This window comes from Homo sapiens, chromosome 14, assembly GCF_000001405.40.
Source record: "Homo sapiens chromosome 14, GRCh38.p14 Primary Assembly".
NCBI classification, from domain to species: Eukaryota; Metazoa; Chordata; class Mammalia; order Primates; family Hominidae; genus Homo; species Homo sapiens.
Window position 1 is genome coordinate 38,192,225 of NC_000014.9, and position 25,328 is coordinate 38,217,552.

At 42.9% G+C, this 25,328-nt stretch overlaps 1 protein-coding gene and 1 long non-coding RNA gene across 3 annotated transcripts, besides 7 other annotated features; one reads left to right on the forward strand and one right to left on the reverse strand.

Moving 5' to 3' along the window:
* Window positions 3,440-4,428: an enhancer, noted in NCBI's record as "OCT4-NANOG-H3K27ac hESC enhancer chr14:38664869-38665857 (GRCh37/hg19 assembly coordinates)". NCBI's record gives its function as "activates a minimal SCP1, AML or CMV promoter by ChIP-STARR-seq in naive and primed H9 embryonic stem cells {active_cell/tissue: H9 hESC(naive and primed)}" and the evidence as "EXISTENCE:reporter gene assay evidence [ECO:0000049][PMID:30033119]".
* Window positions 6,603-7,103: an enhancer, noted in NCBI's record as "H3K4me1 hESC enhancer chr14:38668032-38668532 (GRCh37/hg19 assembly coordinates)". NCBI's record gives its function as "activates a minimal SCP1, AML or CMV promoter by ChIP-STARR-seq in naive and primed H9 embryonic stem cells {active_cell/tissue: H9 hESC(naive and primed)}" and the evidence as "EXISTENCE:reporter gene assay evidence [ECO:0000049][PMID:30033119]".
* Window positions 7,104-7,604: an enhancer, noted in NCBI's record as "H3K4me1 hESC enhancer chr14:38668533-38669033 (GRCh37/hg19 assembly coordinates)". NCBI's record gives its function as "activates a minimal SCP1, AML or CMV promoter by ChIP-STARR-seq in naive and primed H9 embryonic stem cells {active_cell/tissue: H9 hESC(naive and primed)}" and the evidence as "EXISTENCE:reporter gene assay evidence [ECO:0000049][PMID:30033119]".
* Window positions 11,080-11,374: a silencer, noted in NCBI's record as "tiled region #1824; K562 Repressive non-DNase unmatched - State 24:Quies". NCBI's record gives its function as "represses a minimal TATA promoter and a strong SV40 promoter by Sharpr-MPRA in K562 cells {active_cell/tissue: K562}" and the evidence as "EXISTENCE:reporter gene assay evidence [ECO:0000049][PMID:27701403]".
* LOC124903303 (uncharacterized) lies at window positions 14,991-17,063 on the reverse strand. The gene is made up of 2 exons (XR_007064117.1): window positions 16,858-17,063; window positions 14,991-16,052 (listed from the first exon to the last, which is right to left on the reverse strand). It is a non-coding gene; the product is annotated as an uncharacterized LOC124903303 (long non-coding RNA).
* Window positions 15,482-16,143: an enhancer, noted in NCBI's record as "H3K4me1 hESC enhancer chr14:38676911-38677572 (GRCh37/hg19 assembly coordinates)". NCBI's record gives its function as "activates a minimal SCP1, AML or CMV promoter by ChIP-STARR-seq in naive H9 embryonic stem cells {active_cell/tissue: H9 hESC(naive)}" and the evidence as "EXISTENCE:reporter gene assay evidence [ECO:0000049][PMID:30033119]".
* SSTR1 (somatostatin receptor 1) lies at window positions 15,680-20,843 on the forward strand. Of its 2 annotated transcripts, none has more exons than NM_001049.3 (3): window positions 15,680-15,880; window positions 16,219-16,385; window positions 16,822-20,843. In NM_001049.3, the coding sequence occupies exon 3, from the start codon at window positions 17,166-17,168 to the stop codon at window positions 18,339-18,341; it is 1,176 nt and encodes a 391-aa protein (NP_001040.1). In that variant the 5' UTR covers window positions 15,680-15,880; window positions 16,219-16,385; window positions 16,822-17,165; the 3' UTR covers window positions 18,342-20,843. The 2 variants fall into 2 exon arrangements, with proteins under 2 accessions (NP_001040.1, XP_047287684.1); XM_047431728.1 differs by lacking the exon at window positions 15,680-15,880 and having other exon boundaries at window positions 16,822-17,006; window positions 17,210-20,843.
* Window positions 17,127-17,830: an enhancer, noted in NCBI's record as "H3K27ac-H3K4me1 hESC enhancer chr14:38678556-38679259 (GRCh37/hg19 assembly coordinates)". NCBI's record gives its function as "activates a minimal SCP1, AML or CMV promoter by ChIP-STARR-seq in primed H9 embryonic stem cells {active_cell/tissue: H9 hESC(primed)}" and the evidence as "EXISTENCE:reporter gene assay evidence [ECO:0000049][PMID:30033119]".
* Window positions 17,831-18,533: an enhancer, noted in NCBI's record as "H3K27ac-H3K4me1 hESC enhancer chr14:38679260-38679962 (GRCh37/hg19 assembly coordinates)". NCBI's record gives its function as "activates a minimal SCP1, AML or CMV promoter by ChIP-STARR-seq in naive and primed H9 embryonic stem cells {active_cell/tissue: H9 hESC(naive and primed)}" and the evidence as "EXISTENCE:reporter gene assay evidence [ECO:0000049][PMID:30033119]".
* Window positions 20,844-25,328: the final 4,485 nt, after the last annotated feature.

The following is a 25,328-nucleotide window of genomic DNA, read 5'->3' on the forward strand; positions in this document are numbered from 1 at the left end:
ATTTTTCCATCCTGCAAGATCTAAATAATTCTTGTCGTAAAATAGGCAAACAGTCTTAGGTGCCTGACGTCCAGGCATTCTTTTACATATCAGTCCCTTCCTAGTCTCTGTGCCCAGTGCAACTCGTCCCAAATCTTCCTTCTTTCCCTCCCACCTGTCCCCTCAGTACCAACGCCAAGCGTTGCTGAGTCTTTCTAATCTTCCTTTTCTATAGACCCATATGACCTCTCCCTTCCTCCCCAGGCTGCTCCTCGCCAGGCCGAGCTAGTTCCCAATTCTTCCTCAGCCTCTCCTCCTCCACCCTATAATCTTTTTATCACCTCCCCTCCTCACACCTGGTCCGGCTTACAGTTTCGTTCCGTGACTAGCCCTCCCCCTCCTGCCCAGCAACTTACTCTTAAAAATGTGGCTGGAGCCAAAGGCATAGTCAAGGTTAATGCTCCTTTTTCTTTATCCCAAATCGGATAGCGTTTAGGCTCTTTTTCATCAAATATAAAAATCCAGCCCAGTTCATGACTTGTTTGGCAGCAACCCTGAGACGCTTTACAGCCCTAGACCCTAAAAGGTCAAAAGGCCGTCTTATTCTCAAAATACATTTTATTACCCAATCTGCTCCCGATATTAAATAAAACTCCAAAAATTAAATTCCGGCCCTCAAACCCTACAACAGGATTTAATTAACCTCGCCTTCAAGGTGTACAATAATAGAAAAAAGTTGCAATTCCTTGCCTTCACTGTGAGACAAACCCCAGCCATGTCTCCAGCACACAAGAACTTCCAAACGCCTGAACCGCAGCGGCCAGGCGTTCCTCCAGAACCTCCTCCCCCAGGAGCTTGCTACACTTGCCGGAAATCTGGCCACTGGGCCAAGGAATGCCCGCAGCCCGGGATTCCTCCTAAGCCACGTCCTATCTGTGTGGGACCCCACTGAAAATCAGACTGTTCAACTCACCTGGCAGCCACTCCCAGAGCCCCTGGAACTCTGGCCCAAGGCTCTCTGACTGACTCCTTCCCAGATCTTCTCGGCTTAGCGGCTGAAGACTGACACTGCTCAATCACCTTGGAAGCCCCCTAGACCATCACGGACGCCGAGCTTCAGGTAACTCTCACAGTGGAAAGTAAGCCCATCCCCTTCTTAATCAATACAGAGGCTCCCCACTCCACATTACCTTCTTTTCAAGGGCCTGTTTCCCTTGCCTCCATAACTGTTGTAGGTATTGACGACCAGGCTTCTAAACCTCTTAAAACTCCCCAACTCTGGTGCCAACTTAGACAATACTCTTTTAAGCACTCCTTTTTAGTTATCCCCACCTGCCCAGTTCCCTTATTAGGCTGAGACACTTTAACTAAATTATCTGCTTCCCTGATTATTCCTGGACTACAGCTATATCTCATTGCCGCCCTTCTTCCCAATCCAAAGCCTCCTTTGCGTCCTCCTCTTGTATCCCCCCACCTTAACCCACAAGTATAAGATACCTCTACTCCCTCCTTGGCGACCCATCATGCACCCCTTACCATCTCATTAAAACCTAATCACCCTTACCCCACTCAATGCCAATATCCCATCCCACAGCACACTTTAAAAAGATTAAAGCCTGTTATCACTCACCTGCTACAGCATGGCCTTTTAAAGCCTATAAACTCTCCTTACAATTCCCCCATTTTACCTGTCCTAAAACCAGACAAGCCTTACAAGTTAGTTCAGGATCTGCGCCTTATCAACCAAATTGTTTTGCCTATCCACCCCGTGGTGCCAAACCCATATACTCTCCTATCCTCAATACCTGCCTCTACAACCCATTATTCTGTTCTAGATCTCAAACATGCTTTCTTTACTATTCCTTTGCACCCTTAATCCCAGCCTCTCTTCACTTTCACTTGGCCTGACCCTGACACCCATCAAGCTCAGCAAATTACCTAGGCTGTACTGCCGCAAAGCTTCACAGACAGCCCCCATTACTTCAATCAAGCCCAAATTTCTTCCTCATCTGTTACCTATCTCGGCATAATTCTCATAAAAAAACACGTGCTCTCCCTGCCAATCGTGTCCGACTGATCTCTCAAACCCCAACACCTTCTACAAAACAACTCCTTTCCTTCCTAGGCATGGTTAGTGCGGTCAGAATTCTTACAGAAGAGCCAGGACCGCACCCTGTAGCCTTTCTGTCCAAACAACTTGACCTTACTGTTTTAGCCTAGCCCTCATGTCTGCGTGCAGCAGCTGCCGCTGCTTTAATACTTTTAGAGGCCCTCAAAATCACAAAGTATGCTCAACTCACTCTCTACAGTTCTCATAACTTCCAAAATCTATCTTCTTCCTCATACCTGACGCATATACTTTCTGCTTCCCGGCTCCTTCAGCTATACTCACTCTTTATTGAGTCTCCCACAATTACCGTTGTTCCTGGCCTGGACTTCAATCCGGCCTCCCACATTATTCCTGATACCACACCTGACCCCCATGACTGTATCTCTCTGATCCACCTGACATTCACACCATTTCCCCAAATTTCCTTCTTTCCTGTTCCTCACCCTGATCACGCTGGATTTATTGATGGCCTAATCGCCACAAACCAGCAAAGGCAGGTTATGCTATAGTACAAGCCACTAGCCCGCCTCTTAGAACCTCTCATTTCCTTTCCATCGTGGAATTCTATCCTCAAGGAAATAACTTCTCAGTGTTCCATCTGCTATTCTACTCCTCAGGGATTATTCAGGCCCCCTCCCTTCCCTACACATCAAGCTTGAGGATTTGCCCCACCCAGGACTGGCAAATTAGCTTTACTCAACATGCCCTGAGTCAGATAACTAAAATACCTCTTAGTCTAGGTAGATACTTTCACTGGATAGGTAGAGGCCTTTCCTACAGGGTCTGAGAAGGCCACCGCAGTCATTTCTTCCCTTCTGTCAGACATAATTCCTCAGTTTAGCCTTCCCACCTCAATACAGTCTGATAACAGACGAGCCTTTATTAGTCAAATGAGCCAAGCAGTTTTTCAGGCTCTTGGTATTCAGTGAAACCTTTATATCCCTTACGGTCCTCCGTCTTCAAGAAAAGTAGAATGGACTAAAGGTCTTTTAAAAACACACCTCACCAAGCTCAGCCACCAACTTAAAAAGGACTGGACAATACTTTTACCACTTTCCCTTCTCAGAATCCAGGCCTGTCCTCGGAATGCTACAGGGTACAGCCCATTTAAGCTCCTGTATAGACACTCCTTTTTATTAGGCCCCAGTCTCATTCCAGACACCAGACCAACTTAGACTGTGCCCCCAAAAAACTTGTCATCCCTGCTATCTTCTGTCTAGTCATACTCCTATTCACCGTTCTCAACTACTCATACATGCCCTGCTCTTGTTTACACTGCCGGTTTACACTGTTTTTCCAAGCCATCACAGCTGATATCTCCTGGTGTTATCCCCAAACTGCCACTCTTAACTCTTGAAATAAATAAATAATCTTTGCTGGCAGGACTATGCCGAATCTCCTTAGGCACTCTCTAATCAGATATCCTGAGTCGTCCCAATTCTTAGACCTTTTATACCTGTTTTTCTCCTTCTGTTATTCCATTTAGTTTCCCAATTCATCCAAAACCGTATCCAGGCCATCACCAATCATTCTATATGACAAATGTTTCTTATAACATCCCCACAATATCACCCCTTACCACAATACCTCCCTTCACCTTAATCTCTCCCACTCTAGGTTCCCACGCCGCCCCTAATCCCGCTTGAAGCAGCCCTGAGAAACATCGCCCATTCTCTCTCCATACCACCCCCCCAAAAATTTTTGCCGCCCCAACACTTCAATGCTATTTTGTTTTATTTTTCTTATTAATATAAGAAGGCAGGAATGTCAGGCCTCTGAGCCCAAGCCAAGCCATCGCATCCCCTGTGACTTGCACGTATACGTCCAGATGGCCTGAAGTAATTGAAGAATCACAAAAGAAGTGAATATGCCCTGCCCCACCTTAACTGATGACATTCCACCACAAAAGAAGTGTAAATGGCTGGTCCTTGCCTTAAGTGATGACATTACCTTGTGAAAGTCCTTTTCCTGGCTCATCCTGGCTCAAAAAGCACCCCCACTGAGCACCTTGCGACCGCCACTCCTGCCCGCCAGAGAACAAACCCCCATTGACTATAATTTTCCTTTACCTACCCAAATCCTATAAAATGGCCCCACCCTTATCTCCCTTCGCTGACTCTCTTTTCGGACTCAGCCTGCCTGCACCCAGGTGATTAACAGCTTTATTGCTCACACAAAGCCTGTTTGGTGGTCTCTTCACACGGACGCGCATTAAAAAAACATCCTTACATAATATGTTAAAGGATGCTATACAATATGGGGAAAATGATATAAGTATATGACCCAAGAGGATGAAAAAATTCACTTATTGGCAGAAAGGACAACATCATTTGTATGTAGAAAATCACCTCTCAAAATAGTAAGTTGCTGAAAGGGGAGTGGTTGCGCTAGAATCAGCACCAATGACTCTTTTATCCTATTTCTCAGTTTTAGGGGAAAAGACTCTACAAAACTACAGGTGTTTTGCTGACAGTAGAAAAAAACCTTCCCTTGTTAACATGTTAGTCAAGCTTTGGAAAAGACATCACATGTCAAATCCTATCACAGGATGCTTTATAGAGATTATCTATTTTAAATTTTATTGGAATTTCGATGACATCAAGTTGTTATTGCTTGGACCACAGTGGTGGTGGTTATCTGAAGATTTCTGCAAAAGTGCCATGCCTCCTCAAATAAGGCAAGTCATCTAAAAAATATCCCTTATATATATTTTTCATTTCTTTCATCATGTTACAGAGAATTTCAGTGGTATTCTAAGACTCAGCCTCCCCAAGGAACCAAATCAAGCTTTTATGCATCAGTGGAAACCAGAAATTACTAACAGTATACACAGTGGCAATGGCCAGAGATTACTCTTTCATCTGGTTCAACCCCTAGAGACACAAGGTCTCATCCTGTTCACACCCAAATCCCCCTCCTTCCCCAAACACACAGCCTCCACATGCATTCTCTGACAAGCCTGAGTAATATTTCATCAGTTCTCCCTAGCCACTCAGTCCAGGTTTTAATATAGCTGGAATATCTTGGGTAGCTTTATCAAGATGTAAACCTTATAATCAAGGCTTAGTTCAAAATTTAAGTTTTTCCAGCTGTCAACTGACATACAACTGTATAAAATCTGAAACTTTCCCTATCAAAGTTCTCAATGTTAAAATCTCCCCCTAGTGGATTTTCAGAGCATGTGTTTTCACAAGTAAAACTGAATAGAATTTTCAAAAAAAAAAAAAAAATGCTAAAAATTTCATATGTGTGAAAAATAAGACCTATTAATCTCAAAGTTCAGAGGGGAAAAAATGCAATTTCATTTAAAAGCTTGCCATCAAAAAAATTCTAAAACTAAAGTAGAATAGTTTTGGTTTACTCTAGTCTTATGTGCAAGTGTGAATATTGAGTTTTACAAGTTTTTCTTGTGTGTCATTATCCTCTATTAAGTTAAGGCATTTTAATGGACTAAACATGGTAATTTCTTACTTAATTGTTTAGTGAAGAGAGGCATAATGTTTCAATTAGGAAAGAATGATCCCCCACATGAGTGAATCTGCCATCTGTGTATTCTCATCTGTTAAAACTGTTAGTCAAATCAACAAAAGTCCAAGTGCAAAGTCCCTAAACCAGTTGAAATGGGCACACACTTGCTCTAGGGAAGGGGAAATTTTATTTTAATTGATTTTGTTCCAGCAGCAATCCCTCTTCCTTTCCTGGGAATACATTTTGGCTGGGATTTTGTGGCATCAATACAAATCACTTCAAAGCAGCTATTGCTCATTTATCCTCTACCTAGCGGCTCTGCTGACCCACCACTTGGATATCCATTTTCCTGAGGTGGGGCAAAGATGAGGCATGACAAGACCACAGGAATGGTGTAGGAAAAAACTACAGAGAAATACTCATACAGAAGACAGCACAAAGCTGCCTGCAGTACTGATCGTCACATGTTTAGAACTGGGAAATGGTGGTCAGTTGTTAACAGAAAATGCATTTTCTTTGGTACCAAAATACCAATGGCTCATCAATCTTAATACTTTTATAATAACATTTTTTAAGGTTAAATTCTTTCAAAACATGTCACTCCAAATTTCTGATGAGGTCTAGTTACTTTTAAATAATTAGGCAACATGAATAGAGGAGAAGACTGAGGCAATTATTGGATTCATTGAGGAATGCATAAAACATAAAAATGACTTAAATTTGCTATTTATGTAATTTCGTGGTCTCAAAACCACACTTTAATTGAATCGAGTTTAGTAAGAGATAAGACCACAGCAGTGTGGCATGATGTTTAAGAACACAGGCCTTAGGGTAGATTGTTAGAGTCAAATTCGAGCTCTGACTGTGTGACTTTGAGCCAGTTATTTAACCTCTCTGTGCCTTGGTTTCTTCATCTGCAAAATGAGAGTAGTAAATAGAAGCTTCCTCATAGTGTAGTTGGAAGGGTTAAATATGCTGAAACCGTAAATGGAAAGTACTTAGTACACACAGATCCCACAGCTTTTTTTGTTCACTTTCAGACATTAACAGTCTTATTTTCAGACATTATTTTAAAAATCCTTTTTAAATTGAAACTTTCATTTCTCATTGAACTTAAATCTCTTTGTCCCTATACCAGCTCCAGCATGACCTATGCTTGGATCCTGTAGTAGGGAAGAGGGAAGCGGTTAATTCTTTATCATGTCTTTGCAGTATTTTTTTACTCTACCTCCCTCACCCCTTTCTCTGTCTTTGGTTCCTGCAGGGGAGAGGGAAAATCATTTGGGGACAGCCAACTTCTTCCTTGAGCGGTGCAGTTATAATCATGCATTGTGCCCTCTGTGAGTGCTTCTTTCTCCTTTGAAATTCTTCAGTGGGTTCTTCAGCATCGCCCACTCTGTTGCTGGAGACCACCCATTGTGCCCTTGGATGGCGTGCCCAATATCCTTGGCCAGCTGGCTGCATTCCCCACTCAGCTACTGATTGTTGATTGTTGTGCTTCACGAACTTCCCGCTGAGCGTCCTCTCATCCTGGGGTGGAGAGCAGGCCCATCACGGGGCTCCCACCTGCCTGCCTGCCATACTGTCCATGCCAGTGCCTGAGAAACACCGCCTCTGCTCCACTTTCAGTGGGAACCAGCGTTTTGCACCCCCCTCCATAGCCTTTTCTCTTCACTCTACCACCTGAAGCAATTCCCACTGGGCCGCTTCTTCACCTTTAAGTTTTCCAGGTAAGAATCAGACATCAGTCTCTGTGTCTTGTCAAATGTTCAGGGATACTACCAAGCTCTTTAAGTGGTCTTATAGAAGCCTCCACAGTTTACAGATGGGGTAAGCACCCACTTTCCATCTTTTGTGGGAAGAAAAATGCACAGCACTCTGAGAACTGTCTCTAAGGAATTAATCACTATCAACTTCCTTTCTACTCTCATATATGGAGGTAGGCAATGGGCTAAGGGGGTGGACTAGCACCTCTCTTTAGAAAGTGGATACATTTCCCAATTGCAGTCATCAGGTTGGGAGCCTGGGGCCTCACTGGAAATTGAGACAAAATAAAAGTTAAGTTCAACTTAGACTGTGCATATGTAACATTCAAACATTTGGGTTATTTGAGTCAGTGAGTTCAGTGATTAGTATGAATCCTTACCATGTGGTAGACTAGATTGACTTCAGTATGACGTAGATAGGTGTGATTAATAACTTAGAGTTATTTTAGCTGAGGGTGTGTCATGTACCAAAAACTGGTGAATGGAACATAGTTCACAGTGTTGGAATTATGGGACTCAACTGGATAGGCAGGAGGAAAAAGAAAGGGTAAGTATCATACACATAGAAACTGTCAGTATTTTTTAGACTGCAGAAGTGAATGTCAGACCTACTGTATTAAGCTCTTAAGCAAGGGACAAAACTGGATTTTTCAAGTCTGGGGCTAATTCAAAAACAGTGTTACATTGTAACCCATACCTCAGAAATTATTTTATAATAGCTAAATATTTACATAGTGCTTACTATATGCCAGACACTGTTTTAAACACTTTTAATGTATTTAATCCTTTTAACAATTTTACAAGATAGATGCACTGTTACTTCCTTTTACAAATGAGGAAAATGAAGCACAGAGGGATCAAACAACCAGCACAAGGTTAAAGTCATGGAAAATATGAGATGTAAGCCCTGATGTTTGGTATTAGACTACACTTTGCTTTCACAAACATTATCTTGTGATTTATGTCACAAATAAATCACATTATATAGCAATGATAAAGCAATTCCAAAAGATAGGCATATCAGACTCAAGCATACTCAATGAATCACTTAGCTATGGGATGATAGGGGCTGCCTAGAAAATAATAGACTGTTGTAGCTCCTGTTCCAGTTCCTTCTACCACCTTCTGACGGGTATGTTTTGTTTGCCATTTAACTTACATCACAACATGTTAATTTCAAGAATAAATTTATTAGTGTTTTTCTAAAAGTAAAAATAATTGAGGAGAAAATAAATCAGCAAATGTTATATTAAATAGAACAGACACTTACGGCCTGGAGTCTTTTCATTTTTAAGGTATAAAAAGCTTTTATTGCTTTTATCTTACTTAAAAAGCAATGCGTGCTTATGACTGAAGAATTAGAAAATCTCTGCAAAAGGGAGAAGAAAGCATTCACAACCCAACTACCTGATGATAACCACTGTTAATATCTTAGTAACTGTCCTTTCAAGCCTATGCATATATATGTTCATTTAATGTGTGTGTGTGTATTTACATCATTATTTATATAACATTTTTATTTTTGACTGGGGGAAGAGCAAAATTTTATTTTGGAATGAAAAAGGCCAACGGGGTAGTCAGAAAAGAATAAAGTGAGTGGTGTGGCATCCTCTCTCCATCTTCTTGGTGGCTTGGGTTATACATCTGTGCTTCAAGTTCTTCCAAAGGCCCAACTGTTTTGTTTGGTGTGCATGTTTGCTTACCTTGAAAGTTATCAATCAAGCTCAGAGTCCGTTAAATAAAATATAGCCTATCATCTATCTTCATTATGACCTGGAAAGACAGAGTCCAATTTAGACTCCTAGCCCTCTTCACAAGCTCTACCCTGGAACTTGCCCCCACCAGTAGCCTGTCCTACTTCAACTTCCATTCCTGGCTTTGTCCTGCCCAGTGAATAGGCTCATGTACATTAGGACAGATACCTGAACCCCTATGGCCAAGCTCATTACTCATCTGCCACATCCTCTCCTAGTCACCTCTGAGCCTCTTCTTGGCCATGTATTTGGCTCACACTTCCCTGGAAGTGGGTTTGGAGCCTCTGGGCAGGGAGTCATGGAGTCTAGAAGATTGTGATCTAGCGTATGGGCTAGATGTGGCTTGCGGGCTCAGACTGGGCACTTGTTGGCTGCAGGAACTCCTTCCCTTGCCGGGAAGGATGTGGCTAGAAGCGGGAAAGAACAGGATCTTCATGTATTCTCTATATGAGGTGCTGATCAAAATAAATAATTATTTACACCTAGAGATGTTCTCTAAATTATGACTGTAGAAAGTAGGTAAGTAAGTTAAAATTGGGAATGTGTAGCTTTAGCATGCCAACACCTACATCTGCAGAATCCCCATGGTTTATGTGCGCTGTTGCCTTTGACTGGAACAACCTTCATCAGACATGTGCCCTTTTACTTTCACCTTATTCATAACTGCTCAAACATCTTCTTTCCTTCCCTTTCCATCTAATCTATACCAAGTGCACCCACCCCTCCAGCACTCTGTATCCTCTCACCCCCACTTATCTTCTTAGAACTTATCACGAAATGAAATTACAGTACCTGTACTTGTTTACTGTCTTTCTGCCCTACTAGAATTCCACAGAAAATTAATCTAATTTGTCATTATATCTATTGTGCCTAGAACAGTGCCTGCCACCCAGTGGGCATTCCCTAAGTATTTGCTAAATTACTAAGTTACAATTAAAAACACACATTACTCATACATAGTGGAATTCTGATATTAATTTCCACTTCCTTTTAACTAAGAAATGGGGCAAATAACTGGAAATAAATCTTTTCTACTGCAGTCTGAATTTTACTTCCATAAAATAAAACACATACAAATAATTTTTTAAAATTAGGATATAATATCAGAAACCACTGCATTGGCTAATGGCATAAGCAGCGAAATCTTGGCTCAACCAAACAGTCAACAAAGAAGGAGTGTAGGCCAGGTGTCCCCACCTAGGCTATGCTATCTTCTTACTTCCTTCTTCTGGCAGGAAAGGAGATGTCAGGCTGTAGGAAAGTAGTAGCACGGGCTACTTCCTCAAGGACTAAGTAAAGTAGCATTCCATGCTGTGGGCAAAAGGAGACAGGGGCAGGGCCAGGTGCTGGTGAGGAGAGGCAGTCCACTCTCAAGAGGGGACAGTGAGGTGAGGATCCAGGACCTCTTTCCGGACCACTCCTGGTAGTTCTGAGTTCCAGTCTGACAGCTCACAGACACAGCCCCCCATTTTGCCTCCAGCAGGAGAAGACAAGGAGATGGAGAGACTGTCAACCTAGAACCAGTAATGACCAGTTCCAACTTAATTACAGAAAGGGAGAAAAGATCAATCATTTAAGTTGCTTCATCGTCTAAATAAAAGTGTTTTGGCTGTTGAAACATGAACCTAGACTCCTGCCTCAACATATTTAAAATGAGAACAAAGTGGCAGTATCATGGTGGTGGGCGTTTAGATGCTTACATTGTTTTCATCTACAAAACAGGCTTTCCTTTCACACCCTAGCTCTTTGCTGGGCTGGTGGAGCTGATTGACAGATATAGCCCGCTCCAAAGGAACAGCCCTTTCTCAAGGAATGAATGATTTGCTCTAAGTATTTAAATCCTCTGCTCAAAATCAAACATAAATTGAAGTATCAAAATAAACAAAAATATGGTTTGTGGTTTTGAAAGCATTTCTTTGTGATTTTTGCTAAAAAGAGAAATGCCAAAAAAATTTTTTTAAAGATTTTGAGACAATTATCTGGCGCAGTGGCTCACGCCTGTAATCCCAGCACTTTGGGAGGCTGAGGCAGGCAGATCATGAGGTCAGGAGATCAAGACCATCCTGGCCAACATGTTGAAACCCCATCTCTACTAAAAATATAAAAATTAGCTGGGCATGATGGGCGCCTGTAATCCCAGCTACTCAGGAGGCAGAGGCAAGATAATCACTTGAATCCAGGAGGTGGGGGTTGCAATGAGCCAAGATCATGCCACTGCACTCCAACCTGGGCAACAGAGTAAGATTCGTTCTCAAAAAAAAAAAAAAAAAAAGAAAAGAAAAAAGATTTCGAGACAATAGTTTTAAACTAATGCATCCATCTTAAAATCCTTAACTAACAGACTTTATTACAGAAAAATGTATTACTGATAAGGACTATTCAAAATAATACAGATAACATGAATGTGCTCCTGTTCTGCTTTTATGTTTCCATTATTTGTAATGAATACTTTCCTGTATGTGCTGAATTCTTGTTTTTAGAAATATTATTTTGTAGTAGAGAAAACATAGGGAAGAATAGGAGTTGTTACACCATATGGGTCTTTGCTAAAAGCACAAAAAAAGACTCTGTCATGCTGTTCACAGAAGAGGCAATAGGAAAATCAGTGGGCCAGGGTGAGTTTGCTGAGGTTGGTGATGAACTAAACCACAGGCTACCAAGGCTGCTGTGATTGGGTATTCCTGAGAAATGAAGTCCAGGATTGTTTCTTAGCCCTATAGCCACATTTGTGCTCTGGTAACTTTCTCGTTAGACTGACATCATGTTAACTGCTTAGTGGCAGATGGTCCTTAAGTGACACAACCTTTGCTGTAGGCCATATTGCTGAGTGGTGTTAGCCCCTTATACTCAATTTGGTCCCATCTGTCCAGACAGGTGTTTGTAAACCTGACACTGATTCTGCTGCTGCAGACAATGTTCCAGGAAGTGTACCCTTTAATCCCTGGCTCCAGCCAGCCCTTTATCATTGGTATGAATTAGAGATGCTCATTTAAGGATCAACACAGGCTCTGATTGGAAAAACCACATTAGTAATGATTTTGACATAAGCAGAAGTTGAGGTGCTGATAATTACTATTCCACCAAACGAACTGAGGCTCAAAACTGCTATTAAAAGGAAATGATCTTCCATGTATGATGACTTTCACACTGCATGACACTATTAAATAACCATCATTAGCTACTAATGCATGTACTACCCATTTTCCAGAGCCCTTTCTCTGCTGAGAAATTTAAGACCAAGAATGATCAATGAATGAGTCATCAGTATGACAATTGTTGATATAGGACATGCAAATTGAAATTATTTAGAATAATTTAAGTGTATAAGGAATTAATACACATGATGATATTCCTCAGCTAGTAAAGCTCTACTTATAAGGAGCTCACAGTTTATTTCTTTGCATCTACATTTTATAATCTAGAAAAGAGGAAAGTACTATCCATGGGATGCCTTGACAAAATAAAACAAGGTGATTTGGGGCAATTTTGTAGGTACTGCACTAGATGCTGGGGATAGAAAAATAAATAAAATGCAAGCCCCTGGTCTCCACAAGCTTACAAATTTATAAGAGGGTACAGACAAGTACACAAAAAGCCACAGTACAGTGTGATAAATATAATAATCAAAGTGTGCACCTGGTACATGATAGCACAGGAGAGTATAGCTTGTAGGAGAAAGTTACAGTGAGGGAAGAAAATCAGTCTGCTCAAGAATCTGCAACTTCCTAAATTGGAACATTTCATTTTCCCCTTTCTGGAAAACATCTCCTTCTTTTCTATCTATAAATGTTCATATCACAGAGGCATAGGAAAGATGGTAACCAAAGAGGGCTGGAGGACAGGTAACTTGTAGGGAGAAAACAAGCTCTTCCTAATCTTTTCAAGGTTTTAGACATGTGAACCTAAAAAGTTTTTAACAAGACAAGAAGATTGTTGAGTCCTGACTATTCACTGGCTGCGTTTTTTGCAAATTAAAGTGATCTCATGCCCATATCAGTTTTCCTTTTTCTTTGGAAATATTTACATTAAATTGAGATCTGAGGGGAAGATAGCGCTCTAACTGGGATCCTGCTTTTAATATAATTTGAAAATAGCTGCAACCCCAATCCACCTTCCTGGTGGCCCAGAAATGCCACCCTTTTTGTTTGTTTGTTTGTTTTTGTTGTTCATAGATTAGTTCACAAATACAATAATTAGAAATACATGACTGGGCTGAGCACGGTGGCTCACACGGGTAATACCAGCACTTTGTGAGGCTGAGACAGGAAAATTGCTTGAGCTAGGAATTCCACACCAGTCTGTGCAAGATAGGAAGACCCCATCTCTACAAAAACCTTAAAAATTAGCCAGGCATCGTGGGGCACACCTGTAGTCCCCAGCTACTCCAGAGGCTAAGGTGGGAGGATCACTTGAGCCTGAGACATCAAGGCTACAGTGAGCTGTGATTGTGCCACTACACTCCAGCCTGGGTGATAGAGCAAAACCCTGTCTCAAAATAATAATAATAATAATAATAATAATAATAATAATAATAATTTAAAAATAAATACATAACTGAAAAGATTTAATAATGCTGCATAGCTTATATCCATCTCAATCCCTCTCTTTGTCTTTCTCTCATGCTTTTTAAAATTGAAGTAAAACTCCCATAATATAAAATTTATAATTTTAGTCATTTTTGAAGTGTACAATTCAGGGATTTTTAGCATATTCACAATGTTATGCAATCATCACCACTATCTAATTCCAGAACATTTTCACCACTCAAAAAAGAAAGCTCATACCCATTAAGCAGTCCTTCCTCTTTCCCCTCTGCCCCCAGCCCCTGGCAACCACTAACGTACCTTGTCTGTATGTATTGCCTGCCCTGGGCATGTCATATAAATGGAATCATGCCACACGTGGCCTTTTGTGTCTGGCTTCTTTCCCTTTGCATAGTGTTTTCAAGCTTCGTCTACGCTGAAGCAGGTATTAGTACTTCATTTCTTTTTATGGTTGAATACTATTCCATTGTATGGATATACCACAATTTATTAATTCAGCAATTGATGGATATTTGGATTGTTTCTAATTTTTGGCTATTATGAATAGTGCTGCTATGAATGTTCATGCACAAGTTTTTGATTAAACACCTGTTTTCAATTTTGAGGAGTAAATAGAAGTGGAATTGCTGGCTCATATGGTCATTCTTTTAAACTTTTAAACTTTTTAAGCAATTGCCAAAATTTTTTTCTGAAGTTGCTGCATCATTTTTTATTCCCACCAGCAATGTATGAGTGTTCTAATTTCTCCACATTCTCACTAACGTTTATTTTTTGTTTTTAAAAATGTTCTTATAGCCATCCTAGTGGGTGAAAAGTGGCATCTCAAAAAAATAAAAATAAAAAGCATTCTCACGTCAGGTCTTAAGTTTTCTTCTTTTGTATATGAGGCCACAAAATTGAGAGAAATTTTCCCTAAGATGAGCTGAAAGTGAATTTAATGAAATTCTGAACAACAGAGCTGTTTTTCACTGACTCCCATCACACACTTCCCAAAGAGCAACCATGATCAAAGCCAAGGCATCTAAATAATGACTGTTGAAATCCAAGCTCCCAGAGGTACAGATAGTCAGGTGTCTTTAGTCAGTGATTGGCAGAGGCATCTAAGGCATTATATGAGGCTTGGCTAGTAAAATGCTCTTCTGGGATTCTGGGACAATACCCACTCTCTTTTCTTTTAACTTAATGAACATTTATTTTCTCTCCATATGTGCTGTATTTGTAAAGGAAAAATAAATATAACTAAACACCAATTGTACATTCCACTTTAAAGAAGGCAATTTGTTCAGGTAAAATAATGGGTTAAAACAGTTTCAGCCGTATGAAATTTCAAATTCCATCCTAGCACATTCCTCATTAATAATTGCACACATTCCTATGAAAGTCTGTCATTTATTTTAGTCTTTGATTGCTATCATCAACACACTACAGAAGTTATTCTTTCCTGTTCAAGACAATTAGTTTTGGGAACTAAAACACATGCAGTATATGTAAGTGATTACCTGGATAAAGCAACAGGGCATTAGGAAATATACTTTTTTGTTTTTAATTTCTGCATCCATTTCTTCATTCTGGACCGGTACAGATAGCCTCCATGAGGAGTTTAGCCTCTCCTTGGAGTAAACTCTACTGAGAGGAGGAAAACTGAGACTTACAGTACAGCGGGCACAGCCTGGTTGAGGAGAAGGAGAAACTAAGGAAAAACTGGAGACAGCAAAGCTTGAAGGAGGCAGAGCACTAAGCTGCTGCGGGTCACTCTTCCTGTGAACAGGCTAGTTTCAAATAAAGGCTTGCAGGGATCTTACCGAGCAAAGCAACGTTTATGAAAAGGAACAGGGAAGTTGCATGGAGTGTGATTCTTCCTTCCACAGGAACAGTTGGAAAGCCAAAGAGACCCTAGAGTAAGAATGGTGGTAAGTCCCAGGGTTCGTTTAAAATCCTGATAACGGAACATACATTCTTTCTTACGGGAAAACCGTTTTGATTCTTAAATGAAGTCAGTGAGCTTCAGGCTTGCCTACATTGATATCTCCTAATGGTTTGGGCACGTGACCCAGAGCCAGCTCACAAATCAAGCCTCAGAAAGAGCTGACATCCTAGCTCTTCCCGGAAAAACTCGAATGTCGCCCTGCCGTTCCTGGGGTTGGTGACAGGTCTGGTCATCGCACGGCGGCAGCTCCTCACCTGGATTTAGAAGAGCTGGCGTCCCCGCCCGCCCAAGCCTTTAAACTCTCGTCTGCCAGAACCCGCCAACTCTCCAGGGTACAAAGTACAGCAGGGACGCGGGTGGAGCCCTTCCAAGCGGCGCAGCCTTATCTTTCCCGAGTGAACACCTAGGTGGATTCCCAACACCGCGCCTGGCACGTTTCTGGAGGGAGTCTCAAGCTCCTCCAGAGCTCCCAGCTGCGCGTCCTCGTTTCTGCAGTCGATATTCCTGTGGGAGACACGGGGGGCTCTGAGCGCTACGAGCTTTATTAAGAGATTTGCGAATGGTTCACTCAGGTCCCTGAACACTCCCAATAGCCTAAGCTGCCTGCTGTGTTATAGCGCAGAAGCCCCTAACGCACGGTGGTTGTCCTTTCTTCTCATAACGCTCGCAGCTTAGGGCCAGTTTCCGCGATTCTAAGAGTAATTGCGTGGGCACCTGTGCTGGGGCCAGGCGCAAAGAAGGGAGTTGGTCTGCGCGAAGATCGTCAACCTGCTAACAGACCGCACATGCACTTTGCACCGACCATCTACGTCTCAGTCTGGAGGTTGCGCACTTTGGGTAAGGAGGGCCCGGAACTTCCCTGGCGGGTCTGAGCTGCAAGGCAAGCGAGGGTGGGAAGAGGGAATTTAGGGTTCTGGACTGCGGGACGGGAGAGAAGCTGGGGTCTCCAGAGAAAAGGGCAGCAATGGAGGGAAACTGAGATGAACTCCAGACATCCATGTTCATGGATCCGTTTGAGTCTTTGCTTTGGGTAGGAGAGGAGTGGAATGAGACAGAATCTATACCTTTGGTTCCCACCCGCCCTCCAGTAAGGCCGAGGAACTCTCTTGGTTCCTCTGAGAGCAAGAGGCAGATGGTGCTGCGAGGGAACCCCGGAAGGAGCCACTAAAGTTGAGCAGAGTGCAGGACTGGGAAGGAAAAAAATGGGGGGCGGGGGGGACAAGCCACCTATGTGCTCTCCTCCCTTTCTCCACCCCACCCCCTTTTTTCGTAGCTGCTGACGCGCTGGTGGTGCCTATTAATCATTTACCAGTCCAGAGCCGCGCCAGTTAATGGCTGTGCCGTGCGGTGCTCCCACATCCTGGCCTCTCCTCTCCACGGTCGCCTGTGCCCGGGCACCCCGGAGCTGCAAACTGCAGAGCCCAGGCAACCGCTGGGCTGTGCGCCCCGCCGGCGCCGGTAGGAGCCGCGCTCCCCGCAGCGGTTGCGCTCTACCCGGAGGCGCTGGGCGGCTGTGGGCTGCAGGCAAGCGGTCGGGTGGGGAGGGAGGGCGCAGGCGGCGGGTGCGCGAGGAGAAAGCCCCAGCCCTGGCAGCCCCACTGGCCCCCCTCAGCTGGGATGTTCCCCAATGGCACCGCCTCCTCTCCTTCCTCCTCTCCTAGCCCCAGCCCGGGCAGCTGCGGCGAAGGCGGCGGCAGCAGGGGCCCCGGGGCCGGCGCTGCGGACGGCATGGAGGAGCCAGGGCGAAATGCGTCCCAGAACGGGACCTTGAGCGAGGGCCAGGGCAGCGCCATCCTGATCTCTTTCATCTACTCCGTGGTGTGCCTGGTGGGGCTGTGTGGGAACTCTATGGTCATCTACGTGATCCTGCGCTATGCCAAGATGAAGACGGCCACCAACATCTACATCCTAAATCTGGCCATTGCTGATGAGCTGCTCATGCTCAGCGTGCCCTTCCTAGTCACCTCCACGTTGTTGCGCCACTGGCCCTTCGGTGCGCTGCTCTGCCGCCTCGTGCTCAGCGTGGACGCGGTCAACATGTTCACCAGCATCTACTGTCTGACTGTGCTCAGCGTGGACCGCTACGTGGCCGTGGTGCATCCCATCAAGGCGGCCCGCTACCGCCGGCCCACCGTGGCCAAGGTAGTAAACCTGGGCGTGTGGGTGCTATCGCTGCTCGTCATCCTGCCCATCGTGGTCTTCTCTCGCACCGCGGCCAACAGCGACGGCACGGTGGCTTGCAACATGCTCATGCCAGAGCCCGCTCAACGCTGGCTGGTGGGCTTCGTGTTGTACACATTTCTCATGGGCTTCCTGCTGCCCGTGGGGGCTATCTGCCTGTGCTACGTGCTCATCATTGCTAAGATGCGCATGGTGGCCCTCAAGGCCGGCTGGCAGCAGCGCAAGCGCTCGGAGCGCAAGATCACCTTAATGGTGATGATGGTGGTGATGGTGTTTGTCATCTGCTGGATGCCTTTCTACGTGGTGCAGCTGGTCAACGTGTTTGCTGAGCAGGACGACGCCACGGTGAGTCAGCTGTCGGTCATCCTCGGCTATGCCAACAGCTGCGCCAACCCCATCCTCTATGGCTTTCTCTCAGACAACTTCAAGCGCTCTTTCCAACGCATCCTATGCCTCAGCTGGATGGACAACGCCGCGGAGGAGCCGGTTGACTATTACGCCACCGCGCTCAAGAGCCGTGCCTACAGTGTGGAAGACTTCCAACCTGAGAACCTGGAGTCCGGCGGCGTCTTCCGTAATGGCACCTGCACGTCCCGGATCACGACGCTCTGAGCCCGGGCCACGCAGGGGCTCTGAGCCCGGGCCACGCAGGGGCCCTGAGCCAAAAGAGGGGGAGAATGAGAAGGGAAGGCCGGGTGCGAAAGGGACGGTATCCAGGGCGCCAGGGTGCTGTCGGGATAACGTGGGGCTAGGACACTGACAGCCTTTGATGGAGGAACCCAAGAAAGGCGCGCGACAATGGTAGAAGTGAGAGCTTTGCTTATAAACTGGGAAGGCTTTCAGGCTACCTTTTTCTGGGTCTCCCACTTTCTGTTCCTTCCTCCACTGCGCTTACTCCTCTGACCCTCCTTCTATTTTCCCTACCCTGCAACTTCTATCCTTTCTTCCGCACCGTCCCGCCAGTGCAGATCACGAACTCATTAACAACTCATTCTGATCCTCAGCCCCTCCAGTCGTTATTTCTGTTTGTTTAAGCTGAGCCACGGATACCGCCACGGGTTTCCCTCGGCGTTAGTCCCTAGCCGCGCGGGGCCGCTGTCCAGGTTCTGTCTGGTGCCCCTACTGGAGTCCCGGGAATGACCGCTCTCCCTTTGCGCAGCCCTACCTTAAGGAAAGTTGGACTTGAGAAAGATCTAAGCAGCTGGTCTTTTCTCCTACTCTTGGGTGAAGGTGCATCTTTCCCTGCCCTCCCCTGTCCCCCTCTCGCCGCCCGCCCGCCACCACCACTCTCACTCCACCCAGAGTAGAGCCAGGTGCTTAGTAAAATAGGTCCCGCGCTTCGAACTCCAGGCTTTCTGGAGTTCCCACCCAAGCCCTCCTTTGGAGCAAAGAAGGAGCTGAGAACAAGCCGAATGAGGAGTTTTTATAAGATTGCGGGGTCGGAGTGTGGGCGCGTAATAGGAATCACCCTCCTACTGCGCGTTTTCAAAGACCAAGCGCTGGGCGCTCCCGGGCCGCGCGTCTGCGTTAGGCAGGGCAGGGTAGTGCAGGGCACACCTTCCCCGGGGTTCGGGGTTCGGGGTTCGGTTGCAGGGCTGCAGCCCGCCTTGGCTTTCTCCCTCACCCAAGTTTCCGGAGGAGCCGACCTAAAAGTAACAATAGATAAGGTTTCCTGCTCCAGTGTATCTCAAAAGACCGGGCGCCAGGGGCGGGGGACCTAGGGCGACGTCTTCAGAGTCCGCCAGTGTTGGCGGTGTCGCCGCAACCTGCAGGCTCCCGAGTGGGGCCTGCCTGGTCTCTAGAGGGTTGCTGCCTTTCAAGCGGTGCCTAAGAAGTTATTTTCTTGTTTAACATATATATTTATTAATTTATTTGTCGTGTTGGAAAATGTGTCTCTGCTTTCCTTTTCTCTGCTTGCCTAGCCCCAGGTCTTTTCTTTGGGACCCTGGGGGCGGGCATGGAAGTGGAAGTAGGGGCAAGCTCTTGCCCCACTCCCTGGCCATCTCAACGCCTCTCCTCAATGCTGGGCCCTCTTATCTCATCCTTTCCTCTAGCTTTTCTATTTTTGATTGTGTTGAGTGAAGTTTGGAGATTTTTCATACTTTTCTTACTATAGTCTCTTGTTTGTCTTATTAGGATAATACATAAATGATAATGTGGGTTATCCTCCTCTCCATGCACAGTGGAAAGTCCTGAACTCCTGGCTTTCCAGGAGACATATATAGGGGAACATCACCCTATATATAATTTGAGTGTATATATATTTATATATATGATGTGGACATATGTATACTTATCTTGCTCCATTGTCATGAGTCCATGAGTCTAAGTATAGCCACTGATGGTGACAGGTGTGAGTCTGGCTGGAACACTTTCAGTTTCAGGAGTGCAAGCAGCACTCAAACCTGGAGCTGAGGAATCTAATTCAGACAGAGACTTTAATCACTGCTGAAGATGCCCCTGCTCCCTCTGGGTTCCAGCAGAGGTGATTCTTACATATGATCCAGTTAACATCATCACTTTTTTTGAGGACATTGAAAGTGAAATAATTTGTGTCTGTGTTTAATATTACCAACTACATTGGAAGCCTGAGCAGGGCGAGGACCAATAATTTTAATTATTTATATTTCCTGTATTGCTTTAGTATGCTGGCTTGTACATAGTAGGCACTAAATACATGTTTGTTGGTTGATTGTTTAAGCCAGAGTGTATTACAACAATCTGGAGATACTAAATCTGGGGTTCTCAGGTTCACTCATTGACATGATATACAATGGTTAAAATCACTATTGAAAAATACGTTTTGTGTATATTTGCTTCAACAACTTTGTGCTTTCCTGAAAGCAGTAACCAAGAGTTAAGATATCCCTAATGTTTTGCTTAAACTAATGAACAAATATGCTTTGGGTCATAAATCAGAAAGTTTAGATCTGTCCCTTAATAAAAATATATATTACTACTCCTTTGGAAAATAGATTTTTAATGGTTAAGAACTGTGAAATTTACAAATCAAAATCTTAATCATTATCCTTCTAAGAGGATACAAATTTAGTGCTCTTAACTTGTTACCATTGTAATATTAACTAAATAAACAGATGTATTATGCTGTTGCAAGTTGTTTTTGCTATTTGAATTTTATTGTTTCAATGGATTACTTGGTAACACACACACACACACACACACACACACACACACTAGCTTAGTTGACTTACTTGTCACTTAGGTTTTAAGAAGAATGTTTTCAGATTACTTTTGGGAATTTTACCAAGTTTGTGGTTATACCCTGAATTATTTTGTTAAAAAGAAAAGTCGGCTAGTTCAGAAAGGGAGAGAGAGGTAGACAGAGAGAAAGAAGAAAAAGTTGAGCCAGGATGAACAGGAAGCAATGCACTCAGTTGCACTCTGTTGTCACCAAACTAAGTGGATGATATCTTAATCTCTCGCAGATAAAATTACTGTCTACCCCCATTTATAACCTCAGACTTTTTTTTGGGAACTAAGTAATTGCTGATTTACAACCTGAGGAAAGACAACGGAAGGGGAAAACTATCTCCTAAAGATGTCCCAGAAGACAGTGGCAAAATAAATAGAAAAATCAGATTTTGACATAGGAGATGGACGTATTTTCTGCCTTGTTCAGTGATGGCCATATCAATCTCTGGAGAATGTAAGAAATCATTAGGGAAGTTTGTTTGTTTTTAACAGACTTGATCTTTTTAGAGCAGTTTTATTTTCATATCAAAATGAGCAAAAAGGACTATTTTCCAAGCAGGTAATAGCAGTGATTCCAGAAGCAGAGTTGGGGATGGAGAGTTCAAATGCCTTCAAATGCCCTGTGACTCTATGCTTTATATGGTTCTATACATCATCACAATATGATTAAGGATAACTGGACTTTCATCATTTCTATTATTTTTTTCTCTCACTATGCAAGTCTCTTTTATTATTTTTAAAAGCTGCAGCAAGGTGGCAAATTAAACTCATAACTTAGACGTGCAGAGAAAACCTATTTTGTCATTTGGTTTCAACTAATCTGAACAAAATTCCAAGCTCCTTCCAATGCATTAGCTGGGGAAAAAAATTAAACAAATAGTCAAACATCCAGTTGAGCTGATAATTTAAATAGCCATTAAAAAATTAAAAATTTCATTTGAATAAGTTTGGACAGCCTCTCAGCTAGCCTCCTCTTTCTCTTTTGACATCCCTAAAATGGCTTTAGAATGAATATGAGGAGGAGGTTTTATGCATGCTACTGGAGGAAGGGATAAGGTCAAGTCCTTGGGATAGGGGCCCTCTCTTCCTTTTGCTCTCTGGGGCCAGGTCCTTTGTGTACCTTTCTGCTTCCTGGCTGAAGTTTGTTGAAGTCTGCAGCTGTCAGAGCCTGTGAATCAACCTCTCAGCTTGGGGAGGCCTGCACTTCAGTTCCTGTGGGCTGCAGCTTTCTCTGAGTCTTCTATGGCCCCAGTATAGTCCACTAGCCCAGTGGTCTCCCCCAGCCTCTGCTGAGAAGTTATCTCACCCTGCCACAGAGGCCACATGGTAAAATTCTTGGCTCAGTGAATACAGGGGACCTCAGTGGCTGTAGACTGGCAACCCTTAGAATCTACTCGACCTGACTATGCCTGTCTTCTTTTCTGTGGCTTTCAGGTCTTCTTTATCCCTCTTTACTTTTGTCAACATTACTTATTAAAACATTCCACTCTCCCCACCTCACCTTTACACTAGAGAAAAAAGATAGTAGTTGAGTCCTTCAGTCTTACCCCTTGATGTGCTGTAGCAGGAAAAGTATTTAGTAATCTCTCCTGCCCCTCCCCTAAACACACACCTACCTGATTTCCAAGCATGTTTGCATTACCTATAAAGAAGGTGGAGTCAAGCCCTCTCCTTTCCTAATGTAATGAGCCTGTCCTCAGGGAGAGAGACTAAAATGAAACATGATTTATAGAAATTAAAACATATTAGTTTAATGTCTGTGAATTATTATCTTTTTTATAAGTGGCCTTTGTGTTCCCAGAGTAGCATTTCCCAGGTCATCTTCTTACATAGTACCCACAGAAAAGGATCACACTTGAAAACCTTTGACTCCTCATCCATTTTAATTCCGACCATTGTACAAAAATGTTGAATGTGTAATTTTGGCCTGAGAAAAAAGACAAGAATTTCACCTGGAGAATAGTAGGGATGATTCATTTTTAAAATGGCAATATATTTCCAGTCTATTTTAAACAAATAATAGAGATGTCATATTTGTATTGATCTGAAAAAACACTTTAACAATGGGATTCTGTTTTGAAAATCTTGTTCATTCCCTTTTTTATTCCAACGTACAACATCAGAGTGAAGTATTAACTGAAATAATTAATAGATGTTCATATAACTTTGCCTGTAGCACACATAACTGTGGTGGGTACTTACAAAATACAGTATTGCAAAGTCTTTGTTTCTCTCTCGTTGCACCACACAACTTTGAGCTAAGGAGAACCTCTTACACATATGCAGATGGATATCTTGCTTTTTATTCAATAAATTTCAGTTTGTTGGCTTTAAAAGAAGACAGTTTCCACATTGTTGAAATGACATGGTTTCCCAAGGAGAAGGCAGGTACAGAGATAATGTTGTAAGTGATCACTTATTATTTTGCTAAATATCTGGAGACAAGGTATTAGAGTGAGCATACTTGTAAAATGACTGTGTTAGGAATGATCAAATACAGCCCAGCTTCTGATATCAACTAGAAAAGAAGGGGTTCTGCAAGTATGACAAAGTTGAGGAGGCCTATGAACTGAATAAGCCAGTTAAAAGTAAAATATCAAAATGCCTCCTTGTCATACTGTTGGGGAGAGAGGAGCATCATCTAAAGAAAAAGATATAATTTTAAATAAAATTATTAAAACTTCGGTAGAATGTTCACTTTTATAATAAACATAATTATTGTCAAAACATACCTTAAAATCGATTGGATTAGCCAAAAACTAGAAACATTTAAGACCTAGACTACAGGCATGTTACCAGAACTCTTAGGAGTAATGAGGAACTTAAAACTTTAAAAATAAATGCCTCTTTAAGCCAGGTTGATCTAAGTCTTCAATTTTGAGTGGACAAGAAGTATGAAAGAAAATGAGAAGTGGGAAATGCTATCAGTTAGCATATTAACTTGTCACTGAATAACTCTAGCCCACCCTCAGTGCCTACATGCTTGGAAATGTTAACAACAAGACTTCAAGTATTCCCAGCTTTAAGAATTTAAGAATACAAAAACTATATGCTAGATTCCACTTAAAGGAAGACATGTTATACAGAGGAGGTCACAGTAGAATATTATGTACAAAAACAGTTCTGACTTTCAACAAATAATACCTATCTCAAAAGGCAACTGATACTTCCCATAAATTTAAAGAGAGAGAGAGAAAAAAAACAAACCAAGACATGATAGGCAAGCAGGACAATATTTTACAATAGCACACATGACTTCCATAACTATTCTGTGAAAGAATGTCCAAATATTGATGAATAATAACTCTCACTCTGTTCTTTCTGTCTCTACAACACTTGAACAACTATTAATCTAGCTAATCTTATTAACAGTGGCAAAATGTCTATTCAAAGTCAATAATTAAGTTAAACATTCTCCTTTATGTCCAATGAGCCACTGTAACTAGCAAACCAAAATGTCTGTATGTCTTTTTCAAAAGATTTTCAAGTCTTCCTATGTATAAACTCTGGCACCTGAAATTAACATACACACACATTCACACACACACACACACACACACACACACACACACAATTATTAATTAAACAAAAAGGAACTTCTTAGGCAATAATTGGTGAAATAGAACTTCAAGACTGTCTTTTTTCCCTTTTCCCTTTTTAGCTCCCATTTCTACCCCTCCTTCCCCCAGCTCAGGACCTCATGTTTTCTGATTTTCCCCACTTCTCCCAATAAAGTTCTTCTCAGAAAAGGATTTACATTGATTTATAATTTACATAACTGACAAAGCTTCAAGTATTATTCCTCCAGAAGCAGGACTTTTTAATAAGGGCACAGTATCAGAAAATCAGGCAGCAGAATCCCTAAAATCGCATGTTCCTGTAAGGCAAATGTTTCTCAACAAGTGATCCATAATTCCAGCATTAGAATCACCTGAGAACTTATAAAAAATTCATGGCCTCTATGTCTTACCCACAGATATTTTGATTAATTAGTTCTGAGGTAGATTTCAATTCTCAATGATTCTAAAGTACAATAAAGTTTGAGTACTAATAATTTAAGTGTTAAGAGCATGGAGTTTGCCATCAGCAGATGTGGCTCTGCTTTCTTTGTTGTGTAATACTGGGCAACTTAATCTTTGTGAATCACATTTCATTCGTCTATAAGGTCAAGATAATGACATCTCTTCCATAGGGCTGTTGTGGTGAGACAAGGCATGTCAAATGCTAAATCAGTCAACTTTTTTAGTATGAAAACTCAATTAGCTCACATGTGTGAAAAGTCTTGAGAAGATCTGGCTTCAGGGTGCACTTGACCCAAAACTCACTAGAATCTTTTTTCAGTCTCCATTGCTCATCCCTGATTTGTGCCATGTTGGCTTCATACTC

Excerpts from the sequence above, each read along its gene's own strand:
- SSTR1 (NM_001049.3), top strand. The coding sequence starts at position 17,166 with ATGTTCCCCAATGGCACCGCCTCCTCTCCTTCCTCCTCTCCTAGCCCC.